Source organism: Homo sapiens, chromosome 1 (assembly GCF_000001405.40).
Source record: "Homo sapiens chromosome 1, GRCh38.p14 Primary Assembly".
Taxonomy (NCBI): Eukaryota; Metazoa; Chordata; class Mammalia; order Primates; family Hominidae; genus Homo; species Homo sapiens.
Genome location: NC_000001.11, coordinates 204350499 through 204364102, shown reverse-complemented (window position 1 = coordinate 204364102; position 13604 = coordinate 204350499). Strand labels below are relative to the sequence as shown.

The following is a 13604-nucleotide window of genomic DNA, read 5'->3' as shown; positions in this document are numbered from 1 at the left end:
AATTTCAATGAGCAAATATTGACATTTGCCCAGGAGCAGACAAATGTGTTAATTGTGTGTCAAAAAGCTCTTTCTTTCAGGGTATTTAGGAAGTGACTCTCATGGTATCCACAACAGACGTTTTGCTCGAGTGTGCGTGTGGTTTTGAAGGTGTCATTTACTGGGAAGAGTGGTGGGAGGAGGAGAGAACAAGCGAAAGGTTAAAACGTGGGAGAAACGCACTGCAAGCCTGTATGCACTTACCGCAAGAATCCACAAGAGGGCTCCAGAGCACACATGATGGCCCCACAAGGCTTTCAGGGGGTTTGCTCACAGCGTCTCCCCAGGCTGAAGGCGCCTTCTCGGAGGTGACAGGGCCACCTTTCCCATCCCCTGCCACCTCCCAGCCATAGTGGGTCTGGTAGCTGTCTTTCTGATGCTTAAAGATCTAGCTATGTAACACCCATTCCTGCCCAACAGGAAGTGTTCCCCCGCCCCCTTGTCTCCCTCCTCCGCGTTCCTGCGGAAGCCGCCGCCGGTGAAACTGGCCAGTTCTGTCCCCAAGGGTGCCTCTCTCCTTCCCCAAGGTTGACAGGGAGGGAGACGTGGCAGGACGCTTTCTGCAGAGCCACACCCCTGATAACCCGGTTCCCAAGCTGGGCCCCTGCGGCTCCTCCACCGAGGGAACCCCACCCAGCCGTTGGTCTTCCTTGTTCTGTTCTGGAAGCTTCCTCCAGGAAGGTGCGAGAATGTGCAGGCAGGCAGTCCACCCACGGCCCTGGCGCGCCTACGGGCTGCTCAGCGCTTCTTGAGGGGTTGCAGGGAGGCAGAGATCAGAAGCCCAGGTCTCTGCCCCGCGTGCTTCCAGGCTGGGCAGTGAGACCCCGGTGAGCCTCCAAGGCTGTGCTGGGTCTCTGGGATTCATCAGTACAGACCCCAACCCGAACTGCGAGACCCCGGAGGAGGGGCCCTGGGAGGGGCGGGGGAGCCACCAAAAGCAGTTCTGTTGTCTCCAGAAGGCAGACAGGACAGAGCACAGGAGTGCTGGGGCAGCAGTTCTGGTACAGTGACCCCACTAGCTCTAGGCTTAGAAAGGCAGATAACACCCCAGAACAGTAAAGAAGGAGGCGGCCGAGGAGAAAAGGTAGTGAATGTGCTGGGCTTCAAAGAAGCCCATTTGCAGGTGAGGAAAACAGGCTGGATAGTCAAGTAATTTGTTCAGTCAGTGAGTTACTCAGGGATGGAGCTGGGCTTCCAAGTCACACAGGTTATCGTTAGCCAGGCATGGTGGCTCACACCTGTAAGTCCCAGCAACTCAGTAGGCTGAGGCAGGAGGATTGCTTGAGCCTGGGAGATGGAGACCAATCTGGGCAACATAGCAAGACTCTGTCTGTAAAACAAACTAAAAAATTAGCTGCATGTGGTGGTGTGTACCTGCAGTACCAGCTACTTGGGAGGCTGAGGAGGGAGGATTGCTAAAGCCCAGGTAGAGGTGGAGGCTGCAGTGAGCTAGTTCATCCCACGGAGCTCCCTTTGCTGCCCCTAGTTGGCATGTTCTGCGAGGAAGAGAGACCCATGTGGATGCAGTTCCACTGAATGGGCAGTGAGCCAGTCAAGTTAGTGGCCACCAAGACTGTATGGTAGGGAGTGGGGATGGCACCAGAAAGGTGGGGAGGACCCGTGTGTTTGGAGACCATGAGTAGGTGCCTGGGAAGCTTGGACTTGATCCTCTGAGCAATGGGGACCAGTGATTGTAGAGCAGAGGAGAGACGGGATCGCAGAGGTGCTTTCTGTGGAATCCTCCCTCCCTCACGCCACCTCACGCCTTCCCCATTGGAGTTGTTTAGGTGAGGCTTGCTTCTCCTCTTCTGGGCTCGCAGAGCAAGAACTTAGATTTGGCAAAGGGAATTTATTATCTCTGGTCCATCCGCCTCACCTGTCCTTGCTGTAGCTCTAAGATCTTCATGCTACCACATCTCTTCCGCCTTGGTCCCCCAGCTAAAGGCATGCACCCCACACCGACCCTCCCTTTGGCTTCTCATGCCCCTGAAGCTACTCAGATCCCCCAGAAACATTCACATGTCTGGCTCAGGCTTCTCGAAGGATCCGTGGGACTCGTCTGCGGCCCTTGCCCTCTGCCTGCCAGAGAGGAAACCCGCCCAGCAGGCCCATCTGTTGGTCGCCTGCCTTTTCCAGCTGCCTGAGGATTGTGGGGGCTTGGGCTGGGGTCTCTGTCCCCCTCCCCGGCCTCCCTCTGGGATGCTGTAATCTCTTGCCTCCACTCCTTTCCTCCACTGGCTCCGCAGGGTCAGAGACCCCCAAGAGCCCCTCATCTTGGCTGACTGAAAGCAGACTCTCCCCCTGCCTGCACCTGGCAGCCTTGCCAAGTCCTGGAGAGCCAGGGCAGGTGAGTTGGGCTTGATCGGTCCTGCCTGGCACTGGGCCCTCATCCACAACTTGTCTGCCCCTTCAGCAGAGCAGCTTTCCTATAGCCAATGCAGGGCTGGCCTGACATCTCAGCTGGGCAGGGGAACAGTGGGAGGTGACCAAGAGTCCCCCTCCCCAAGAGTGCTGCTGAGCTGCGCCTGCTGCCCTAACCCCAGATTCCTGGCTCCAGCCTGGCCTGCCCTGGGGTGGGAAAGACAGTCCCTTCAGTAGCTCTCTAGGTCCCTGTCTTCCTCCAATGCTGTGGTGTGTGTGAGTGGGGTGTGGAGCCACAGCCTTCACACCAACCAGCCAGGTTCCTCCCAGGCCCTGGGAGGGAAGTCTGTGCTCCTGTTCCTTCCGTTGCACATTCCTTTACAGATAAGGGCTTCAGTTGGTAAAAATGATATATGTACTCAGATCACACTAAGAGAGACCCACTTGTATTGGAGTCAAGAGGCTTAATTTTTTGATCAAGTTGTTCTAATAATAAACAAAAAATGCAATCACCAGGTGAGTGGGGCCTTGCAGACACCCTTTCTCTAGCTCCTGCTTCTTGACATATTTCTCTATTCAGAAGTGACTCCAGAAGCTCATCTGGTTCAGTCCCCAGTTTCCAGGTTTAAGGGGCAGATGGGACTGAGACCAGCGAGCCTGCCTGGAGGTTGAGGTGGGAATCTTTTGGTTTTTTCCATCTTTCTGATCCTGTTTATGAAATCAGTGTTTTTATTACACTTGCCCATTGTCACAGAGAATCCGTGGATAGAGGAAAACTGAGAGAGATGTGGATAAAGGGAAACTGAGGCAGAAAGCAATCTTTGTCTAAGCAGAAACAGAGCTACGACCCTATTGTCTGAAGTCCTTCCTTCTGCCTCTGATCCTGAATAATACAGAACCCAGGTACCCCGTAGCTTGGCTAGCATCCTTGCTCAGGGTTATCAAGACCGATTTGGGCAGGAGCTAGAGAAAGGGTTTCTGCAAGGCCCCACTCACCTGATAATTGCATTTTTTGTTTATTATTAGAACAACTTGATTAAAAAATTAAGCCTCTCGACTCCAATACAAGTGGGTCTGTCTTAGTGTGATCTGAGTACCTATATCATTTTTACCAACTGAAGCCCTTATCTGTAAAGGAATGTGCAACGGAAGGAACAGGAGCACAGACTTCCCTCCCAGGGCCTGGGAGGAGCCTGGCTGGTTGGTGTGGGGGCAGTGGCTCCACAACCCACTCACACCCCACTCATCCTGGCATCTCATAGTGGCCCCCAACCCTCTCCAAATGTTATTTCTCTAAATTCACCATATTGGGGGGGGGGCGGGGGATGGGGAGGCCCCAGGGCCCCAGCCAAGCCCTCTTGACACCTAGAGACGTGCCCCTCTCTGGAGTAGACAGCCACAGAGGTGAAAGGTGATCACCAGGCTGGCTGGGTGAGGCCCCACACATGATTCTAAGACCCTGGGCAGTTTCTGGCTCCCTGCAGTCTCTTGTGGGGGACTCTAAAAATGCAGCTTACCCAGACGGTGGCCCTGCTCCCCTTTGGGGGGCAGCCTTCTCCTGGTGGTGGAAGGCCCAGGAGGCTGTGCTGAGCCACCCCATCCTCTCCCGGGCAGGCAGGCTGCGTGGATGGTTAGCAGCTTGTCGCTGGTGTGGATGGAGTTAAACCTTTTCGGGGACTATTTACTCCTGATCCTAAGTGACAGCTTGGGGAGGGAGAGTCACGTGGCCCTGAAATCCCCGGGGGAGCCGATGGAGCATGCCCAGCTGCCTCTGCCTGGGAAAGATGCTGGATCCTGCAGTAACCACAACAGCATCCTCTCCCTGCGCCAGGGACCTGCCAGCCGGAGAGATGACTGATTAGATCAGATTAGATCCGGAGCCCCGCTCTGCAGAAGGGGGCCCCAGGGGCGGGGGAGGAGGACCCCAGCTGGCCTGAGCTGGGGGGAGGGGTGCCTTGGGGCTCGCAGAGTTAGAGCTTTCCAGCGCGGGGATCACACCTCAGAAGCCGGTGAGTCTGTTTTCATGCATCACATAGATGAGGTGGGAGGAGGAAGGCTGGGCTCTGGTCAGGGCTGGCAGCTGCCTGTCTGCCGCGTGAGCCTGGGCTGCTTGCACTGCGGAGCACTGGCTTCCCCATCTCTCATCCTTGGCAGCCTTACTTGGGGATCATGGATGCTGAGAATGCTAATTATAGCCCTCCCTGTGCCCCCACCCCCACCTCCAGAGTCCCCTGTCAGGGCTGATGCTGTTTAAATTGATTACATTTGAATTGCATCTCCTGGATGAAGGCAGCGTTGGGGCTGGCAGCTTCCTAGGGTCCAGCAGGGGTCCCCCACGCAAGCTAGCACAGAGAGGCCAGCCCACCCTCCCTTTAATCTTGCCAGCAGGAAGGAGAGAGGGAGGGGGTCCAGGGTCAGGCTCAGGTCAGCCCCAGGGACTCACCTTCCTCAGCGTGGGGAGGGGTCAGGGTGTGTATCATTCTTATGAGTCAGAGGTTGGGTCGAAGGGTGACAGAGGCTCTTGGATTCCAATTCCTAGGACGCATCTGAGCTCTGGGGGTCTCAGATTTAGTGGGGAGCTCTTGAAGGAGCTGGAGCCTGGTATGTGGTAGAGGAGGGCAGGGAATGAGGGGATGGCATTTATAATGATGGGACCAGGCTGCAGCCAGCTAAGAGCCTCGAGGTATTGTGTGAGGAGTCTGAGGAAAGGAGGACAGTTGGGGGACTGGCCAGAGAAGGGTAAGGAGGGCTACAGTGGAAGGGGAGGGAAGCGGGGCGAGACAGGAAAGTGGCGGGGGTGGGGGAGAAGGGAGAAGAAGGGAGAAGAGGCTCCTGGGAAATGCTCTTTGAGACAACAGGCCAGCCAGGGCAGGGAAGGGGGCTGTGGAGCCTGGGAGAGCAGAGATGGAGAACCGGGATAGAGGGAGAGCCATCCCCGGGGCACAGGGGTGGGGAGGGAGAGCTGCAGGAGGGTGGAAGGTGGTGGGGAGGAGGCTGGAGCTCAGAGCTGGTGTCAGAGGAGGTTGCAGCCTTCAGGGATTGGAGGCTCTTCCCAAAGCCCTGTAGACCCTTTACCCTCAATCTGATCACTTGAGTGGTGCACTCTGCTGAGGGTCTCCTGCATGGTGGGGCAGGGTCCTGGCTGGCAGGTATCTGCCTGAGCCCACTGTCTGGGCAGGTGCGGGGGCACTGCGGGCACTTGCCCTACAAATCTCCCAAATCCTGTTTTCCAGGCCACCCTGGAAGAGTATGAAACTGAGGAGGGCTCCTGTGGCTAGGACGGTTCAGTCGCCAGCTTTCACCCCCGAGCAGCTGCATTTTAGCTTCAGCAGGACATGAGCAGACCCTGCTGGTGGAGGGGAGGTGGGAGCGGCTAGGCTCTGGCCTGTCTCCAGGTTGGGGTGGCAGGAGGGGCTGAAGGCACCCCTCCTGGCACTGCCACTGGGCTTTCCTTATGGAAACAAGCGAGTTTCTGTGTCTTTGCACAAGGGCACAGAGTGCCGAGCCACAGATATGAATTATTAAAAGTCATTGGTTTTCCAATCAGCGGCGAGGTGATAAATGTGTTAGCACTGGTGTGTAATTAATCCTGGCAGGCTGCTGCACACAGGCTGCAGACAATGGGGGTCCCCACCTGCTTTTTTTTTGCTGGGCTAGGCTTCTTTTCCTCCTTCCTAGGAAGGTGATGGTGCAGGACGCCTTACACAGATAATTACTTTGAATGTGTCTGCCTGGATTATTGAGTTGGATTATTTCTGCTTGTAAATGAAATAATTACTGATCCCTCAGTCAGTGAGGGAGGCAGCCACCTTGGCTCCCGGGCTGACATCAGAGCCCCCACCTCGCCCAGACCCAGCCTGCAGCCTCGGGCTCATAGAGCGAGCTCTCTTGGCCCAGGGGACTGGCCTAGGCCAGAGTGAAGAAGCCGCAACAGCAGATGGGAGCGTGGTGTCAACTGGTGCTGAACAGGCTGCGGTTCCGTTCTCCGAGCCAATTTCCTCATCGTCTTCCTCACTGCCTGTTGTGAATTTGATGAGGTCATTGGCACTGGTCTTGGCGCACCCATGGGGCCCCCCAGAGGAAGGTTGGAGCTGTGCCTCACAAAAGAGCTGCAGGATTCGCACTCCCCTGAGCTCTGGGGTGAGGCGAACGGGCTCAGGAAGCCAGGGCTTAATGAGGGGACTTGAGCAGGCCAGTCTCCAAACACTTAAAGCACATTCAGAGAGGAAAAAAAGACTATATTTTGGGAGACATTTAGAGTAACTGGGAGCAGAAGGAAAAGAAGTTGAGGGTAGGCTGAGTGGAAGCCTTCCCTTGACCATCTGTCTGTTCAGGGGGCTCCTGCTCAGCACCTACAACCTTCAGACGCCCCTCAGAGACTATCTAGTCCAGACTCCCTCCACATCCAGATGAGCCTTCCTCAGCCTCCCTGACAGAAGCAGCAGCCTCACTTGGATAATTTCAGTGACAGGGAGCTCATTACCTCACAAGGCAGCTTCCTCTGTGGCTGGAACATTCTTCTATGTTGAATCAAAATCTGCCGACTTCTAAGTTCCACCCTCTGGTTCTGATTCTTTGAAGCTGTGCAGAACAAGTCACCTCTCTCTTTTACGTGGTCATAAAAATAGTTTTCTTTTGATTAAAATAGTATATAATAGTCCGTGTGTGGATGTAATATATTTTACATGATCATTTCTATATTGGACATTTAGGTTGTTACCTTATTTTCCTTTTACAGATAGCACAAGAGGAACATTTTTGTTCATAAGGCTCTTTCTGTGTTTTGGGTGACTTAGGATAAATTCCAAGGCATAGAATTAATGTGATGAAGGGTGTACATTAAAAGAATTACTATTCTGTGAGTGTAAAAGTAATACATTGTCATTTAAAAATGTAGAAAAACCTAAAGCAAAGTTAAGAATTACCCATAGGTTTGATATATAATTTTAATTTTGGTATACTTGTACTTTTATGAATTCATGCATGAGTGTATGTCTAGATTATCACAATACATATATATCATTAAAATTTTGGCCCAGATGTGTATTATTGTCACTTAAACAGAAAGCATTTTTTCATATTATTAAATATTCTTTAACAGCATTATTATTATTATTAATATTATTATTATTATTTGAGACAGGGCCTTGTTCTGTTGTCCAGGCTGGAGTGCTGTGGTACAATCTCTGCTCACTGCAGTCTCAACCTCCTAGGCTCAAGCGATCCTCCTACCTCAGCCTCCCAAGTGGCTGGGTCTACAGGTGCATGTCACCATACCTGGCTAATTTTATGTATTTTTGATAGAGTTGGCCACGTTGGCCAGGCTGGTCTTGAACTCCTGTGCTCAAGTGATCCACCCACGTCGGCCTCCCAAAGTGCTGGGATTACAGGCGTGAACCACCACACCTGGCCTTTACAGCATCATTTTAAAGTGGCTGTCTCATATTTCATTATATACCTTTTCAATTTATTTGTTGATTTGGCCCCTATGTTAAACTAGGTATTTCCAATTTTCTACTTTTATAAACAAGGCTACAATGAACATATAAATATCTGAATCTTCACACATATCAATACTTTTTTCCCTTAGGTTGCATTTCTAGAAGTGAAATGGCTACATTATTAAAATATTTTGCCAAATACCTCGTTCAAAAGCACTAATTTACATTCCTCGCAGCTGTGTCTGAGAATGGATTTTTTTTGTGTGTGTGTGTGTGTGTGTGTGTGTGCCATGAGCATCAACATTGAGTATTACAACTTTTTCATGGTTTTCATTTATTGCTTCGATCCATCTGTTTGACTGGGAGTGAGACAATTTTTAAAAAGAGACTTATCAAATGTGACATTGTCCATATTAATAACAATGCAATATATAATATGTCCATGTAATAAACATATTTGTGTGTTCGAGTCTTTGGCTTTTCTTAAAAGGCAGTGTGTGCAGAGTCATTAAGATCACAGTTGGCCAGGAATAGTGGCTCATGCCTGTAATCCCAGCACTTTGGGAGGCCGAAGCGGGTGGATTACTTGAAGCCAGAAGTTTGAGACCAGCCTGGTCAACATGGTGAAACCCCATCTCTGTTAAAAATATAAAAATTAGCTAAGTGTGGTGCTGGCTTCCTGTAATCCCACGTACCTGGGAGGCTGAGGCAGGAGAATCCATTGAACCCAGGAGGCGGAGGTTGCAGTGAGCCGAGATCGTGCCACTGTACTCCAGCCTGGGTGACAGAACAAGACTCTGTCTCAAAACAAACAAACAAACAAACAAAACGTAGTTATGGGGTCAAACTCAGGTTGAATCTGGAATCTACCATTTACCAGTGATATGATGCTAACAGTGGCTTTACTTCTCTGTGCCTCAGTTTCTCCATTTGTAAAATGAAGATAATGCTACCTATCTCATAAGCTTCTTGTGAAGATAAATGAGGTTACATATGCAAGCACATAGAATCCTGCTGAGCAGAATAAGTGATAAATGTGTTTGTTATTATTACCTTGTTGATTTGCATGAGAAACATAGATATCTGAAGACAGGTATAATCGTCTCTCTCCCTCCAAGCCCTCCCAAGTCTCCTTGTTCAAGACTAAGTGCCCCTGTTCCTCCAAAGACCCTCAAGTTCTTTCTTGAGCTTTCCTGGAGCCCCCACATGAACTGTGGCCTTACTGGCACAGAATGTGGTGAGGTGGCCACACACATGCCCAGGGCAGCCACTTCCTCCAGGAGAATCCCCTGGAATGGCACACTTGCTGGGGGCTTCTTCTGGCAGGTGCATGGCTTATAGGATACTCCACTGGGGCTGGTACTCCTGCAGCCCCTGTCCGCGCCCCTGCACGGCCGTGTGCACATCCTGTCTTGATTTCTCCCTTGTCAAATCTTCCCAGCATTTCTCATTCCCATGAGACCTCTTTGCACTTTCTAAAGTAGCGCAAGCTTATCTGATAAACTAATTATGATCCGTATGTTAGCTCCTGCTGTGGTCATGGAGAGAAGGCTCATCTGGAATTTGAAGACATGGGTTCAAATCCTGACCCAAGTAGTAGCCATATGATTTGTGGAAGTTACTTAATCCTTCTGAGCTTTCACTTCCTAGCCTGAGAACTGGGGTTAGTATCACTACCACCTACCTAGCTGATACCTAGGTGAGTAATGTACATGGAAGTGCTTTGTAAACTGAGAATAATCACACAAATGTCAGTTACTGAACATCATATTTCGGAAGGCAAGGCTTTAACTCAAAGACCAGATGGGTGCTGAGGTGGATTGGTGGGAAATGTTTTTAGGGTAGCTGGTATTCAGGGATACTGTCAAGTCCTCCCAGGTCACCCACTTAGTCTCTGTAAAGGATTGGTCCTCACCGTGTGAATTCAGGAAATAGAGCTGGAGCTGCCAGTGCTGATCTGATAAACATGCATCAGTGCTGAGGCTTCATGGTAGCTGGTCCACCCTGGTTTCAGCTATGTCTTCCTCGGGTTAGTCGGAGCTCCACTTCTGCAGTGAGGTGGCCTAGGGCCCTCTTTAAGGAGGAGGTGAGGTCCCTCCTTAGCTCTGACATCATTGTGTCCCCCCAGTCTGGCTCATCATGATCTGAGAAGAACAGGCATCTATAATTGCAGGTGCCAATTTGCTTTTAATTAGACAAATTCTTGCAATTAGCCTCTTAAATTCTACCTAGCCTCAGGTGGTGCGGTCATTGTTCTGGTTTTGCTTGGTTCCTGGGACCACATGAGCAGCAGTGGGCTATCCAGGGACTGGATCCAGGCTATCCAGCAATCCTGCTAACCTCACTTGAAACTGGGGCTGTCTCACTGGGGAATTGAAGGGGATCGGAGCAGGGAAGAAAAACCTGCTTTGGTGGGGTGGTGCGGGTGGGAGTATGGTGATAGAGGCGTAGTGCTGAGACCTGTTTGAATGACAAGTGAGGTCTAGAACCCAGGTTTCCTCCTCCTAACCCAATGCTTTTCCCCTTCTGAGCCTCAGTATCCTCATCTCTAAAATGGGAATAATAGTTCCCACCCTGCCCTTATCACCAAGGATCAAATGAGTTAGGTGTAGGAAGTAGGTGTGAATATAAAGCAATGCGACCTGAAAGTCCATGATCACATCAAATGTGAAAGCTCTTTAAAGTTCTCCATATGCTCCCGGTGGCCCTGGCCACTGCTTCTTGGACTCTGACCTTCTCAGTCACTTCTCTGCTGTCCAGTAATTCCTGACTCCATTGTCTTCTAATCCTGCCAACTCTCCCCACAACTATGAGTGATTACAGGGCAGTACTTAGCACATAGTAGGTGCTCAACAAATGTTGGTTGGATATATGAAGCTTTGGATGGGAGGGTTAGGCCCCAAGGAGCAGGCACAGAGAAACACTCATGAGAAAGCCTTGGGTGAGGGCAGTGGTGGGGAATTTATTCCCTGTTCTCCTCAGCCTTGCCTCTCACTCCACTGTACTTCTTCAAGGCAAGAGATGGCCTGATTTGTCTTATTTGTATCTGTGATGTTTCACGCAGAGCCAGTCACAAAATGGTTGGTAACTGCTTTTTGATTGGCTGAGTGAATGAGACAGGGTGATGTGGTAGAGACAGCATGGAATTAAGTGGTGGGTAGAACTTGGGAGCCTGGCCCTACCATTTGCTTTGGGTACATACTTACTGCATGCTCCTTATGTACCAGGCAGGTACTAGGTTGCAAAAATGAATTTTTATTTTGATTTATTTATTTTTGAGATGGGGCCTCACTCTGTCCCCCAGGCTGGAATGCAGTGGCATGATCATAGCTCACTGTAGTCTCCACCTCCTAGGCTCATGCAGTCCTCCCACCTCAGCCTCCTGAGTAGCTGGGACCACAGGCATGCACCACCACACCTGGCTGATTATTTTATTTTTTGTAGAGACAGAGTCTCACTTTGTTGCCCAGGCTAGTCTTAAACTCCTGGGCTCAAGTGATCCTCCTGCCTCGGCCTCCCAAAGTATTGGGACTACAGGCGTGAGCCACTGTGACCGGTCAAAAAAAAATTTTTAAACTCACGCTCTTGTAAGGGAGCAGATGAGTGAGCAAACGACCATGCTGTATATGATACAGACATATGCTACATATGTTGGTGGCCAAAAAAGAAAAGGATAGACTCTCCTAGGAGGTTCCCCAAGGCAGAAACCTTAAGCCGGGTCTCAGCTTGGGAAAATTACTTAACCTCTCTGGGTCTCTGTTTCCTAAGCTATCCTGTTAGGAGACTGAAGTCTCCGCAGCGGCAAGGAGTAAATGAAATAAAATAATATGAAGAAAACATGTGGCACTGGATAGTCTTTTTTTCTTTTTTCTTTTCTTTTTTTTTTTGAGACGGAGTCTCGCTCTGTGGCCCAGGCTGGAGTGCAGTGGTGCGATCTTGGCTCACTGCAACCTCTGCCTCCCAGGTTCAAGCAATTCTCCTGCCTCAGCCTCCTGAGTAGCTGGGATTACAAGGCATGCGCCACCATGCCGGGCTAATTTTGGTATTTTTAGTAGAGATGGGGTTTCACCATGTTGGCCAGGCTGGTCTCAAATTCCTGGCCTCAAGTGATCTGTCTGCCTTGGCCTCCGGAAGTGCTGGGGTTACAGGTGTGAGCCACCACACCTGGCCTAAATAATCTTTTTTTTTGAGACAAAGTCTCACTCTGTCACCCAGGCTGGAGTGCAGTGGCGAGATCTCGGCTCACTGCAACCTCCGCCTGCCAGGTTCAAACGATTCTCTTGCCTCAGCCTCCTGAGTAGTTGGGATTACAGACATGCACCACCACGCCTGGCTAATTTTTGTATTTTTAGTAGAGATGAGTTTTTACCATGTTGGGCATGGTGAAACTTAATAACTTAATAAAAGTTAAAAATGTCACCTTGAAACCAGGCCTGGGATTGGTTGGTGGGAGGAGCTTGGGGAGGGCAGGAGCTGAAGGAATTCCAGGAAGCTGGTCCCTACACAGCCTCACCCTGTCTCTGCTGGTTAGTACCTGTGCAGCCTTGAGTAAGTCCCTCACCTTCTCTAAGTCTCAGGCACTCTATCTGCGAAGTGAGGATAATATGATTGTTGTATGGCTCAATTGAGAAACTTCACACAAGTCACCTACAACATGCTAGGCACATAGTAAGTACTAGAAAATATTAGCTCTTCCTTATGATTTTTACCACCATATTTCACAGAGAGACCACATCTGCACGCTGACACACGCATGTTGCATATGTGTGGACTCCTGGATATGCTCAGGAAGGGCGGAGGGTGAGAGGGCCTGGGGTTAGGCTGAATGACAGCTGGCTGCTGCTCAGCCTGAGAAGCCTTCCTGGAGGTGAGGCGACCGGAACTCTGTAGAGAAGGTGGGAGGGGTCGGGTTCGGCTTGGGTGATGGAACTGGGGAGGACGGCTTGTGGTTCATGCCCAAGTTGGGGGAGCCTGCTTCATGGGAAACATGTCAAAGGGAAAGGTGGCCCCTGACAGCAGGAACTTAGTTATCTCAGGCACGTAGGCCACCTCCCCCCCGCCACACCCCACTCCCCCTGCCTGGGCCAGTCCTGCCAGCAGCATCCCAGCTGCTCGGTAGCCCGGCTGGTCCCCTGACCTTCCTAAGCAAGGCAGCCTGGCGGCCATGCTGGGTTGCCGTGGTAACTGGCGGCCTCCCAGCTGGGTTGCCCGGGTAACCGGTTAGCTGGCGTTCGGAGAGGAGGGTGGTGAGCTGGGGGAAGTCAGCCTCAAAAGAGGCAGAGAAGGACAAGGGCTGGACAAGGAGGAAGACAGATCCCAGATGCCCCCAGCACAGCCCTCTCCTCTCTCCCTCGTGGGACTGGGAAAGCCAGAAAAAGGCAGGTAGGAAAGAATGTTGTGCTGTTTCCGACCCTTTGTGTGTATGTTTTGCAGTGTGAGTCGTCTTGGCCTTCATGGGACGTTTAGGGGATTTGACAGGGCGGCTCAGGAGCTAACCCTGGCAGTGATAAAACCAGGGGCCATCCAAACCAAGACGTCAGTCCTGGTCCTCCCCCCGCCCCCATCTCCCAGACAATTTTACCTCTTTGAGCTTTGATTTCTTCATCTGTAAAATGGAGAGAACTTGGACCTCCAGAGCACACGTTTGGGAGCAGTGCCTGGCACCGTCAGCGGTGGGTTCCTTCCTCTCCTTCCATAGTGATTTTTGATTTGGTGGCTGCTTTCCAGCCTGTGAAGAGCTTGCACTAGAGGCCAACCCTGCTC

The 13604-nt window shown here is 51.2% G+C and overlaps 1 protein-coding gene across 12 annotated transcripts in view, besides 4 other annotated features; it reads left to right on the top strand.

The window, feature by feature from the left end:
* Nucleotides 1–13604, top strand: part of PLEKHA6 (pleckstrin homology domain containing A6) — a 159316-nt gene that overhangs the window by 14066 nt on the left and 131646 nt on the right. For 3 of the 12 annotated variants that reach the window (XM_047449454.1, XM_047449461.1, XM_011509298.4), the window contains exon 1: nucleotides 13120–13223. The exons of 6 other annotated variants lie outside the window; for them this stretch is intronic. In XM_047449454.1, the coding sequence (XP_047305410.1) occupies nucleotides 13162–13223 (62 nt within the window). In that variant the 5' untranslated portion in view covers nucleotides 13120–13161. Of the gene's footprint in view, nucleotides 1–4173; nucleotides 4410–13119; nucleotides 13224–13604 lie in introns of those variants that run through there. 3 more of the 12 variants (NM_014935.5, XM_006711221.4, XM_011509304.4) reach the window with 2 other exon arrangements.
* Nucleotides 745–1298: an enhancer, noted in NCBI's record as "H3K4me1 hESC enhancer chr1:204331933-204332486 (GRCh37/hg19 assembly coordinates)". NCBI's record gives its function as "activates a minimal SCP1, AML or CMV promoter by ChIP-STARR-seq in primed H9 embryonic stem cells {active_cell/tissue: H9 hESC(primed)}" and the evidence as "EXISTENCE:reporter gene assay evidence [ECO:0000049][PMID:30033119]".
* Nucleotides 4286–4921: an enhancer, noted in NCBI's record as "H3K4me1 hESC enhancer chr1:204328310-204328945 (GRCh37/hg19 assembly coordinates)". NCBI's record gives its function as "activates a minimal SCP1, AML or CMV promoter by ChIP-STARR-seq in primed H9 embryonic stem cells {active_cell/tissue: H9 hESC(primed)}" and the evidence as "EXISTENCE:reporter gene assay evidence [ECO:0000049][PMID:30033119]".
* Nucleotides 5037–5963: an enhancer, noted in NCBI's record as "H3K27ac-H3K4me1 hESC enhancer chr1:204327268-204328194 (GRCh37/hg19 assembly coordinates)". NCBI's record gives its function as "activates a minimal SCP1, AML or CMV promoter by ChIP-STARR-seq in primed H9 embryonic stem cells {active_cell/tissue: H9 hESC(primed)}" and the evidence as "EXISTENCE:reporter gene assay evidence [ECO:0000049][PMID:30033119]".
* Nucleotides 5964–6891: an enhancer, noted in NCBI's record as "H3K27ac-H3K4me1 hESC enhancer chr1:204326340-204327267 (GRCh37/hg19 assembly coordinates)". NCBI's record gives its function as "activates a minimal SCP1, AML or CMV promoter by ChIP-STARR-seq in naive H9 embryonic stem cells {active_cell/tissue: H9 hESC(naive)}" and the evidence as "EXISTENCE:reporter gene assay evidence [ECO:0000049][PMID:30033119]".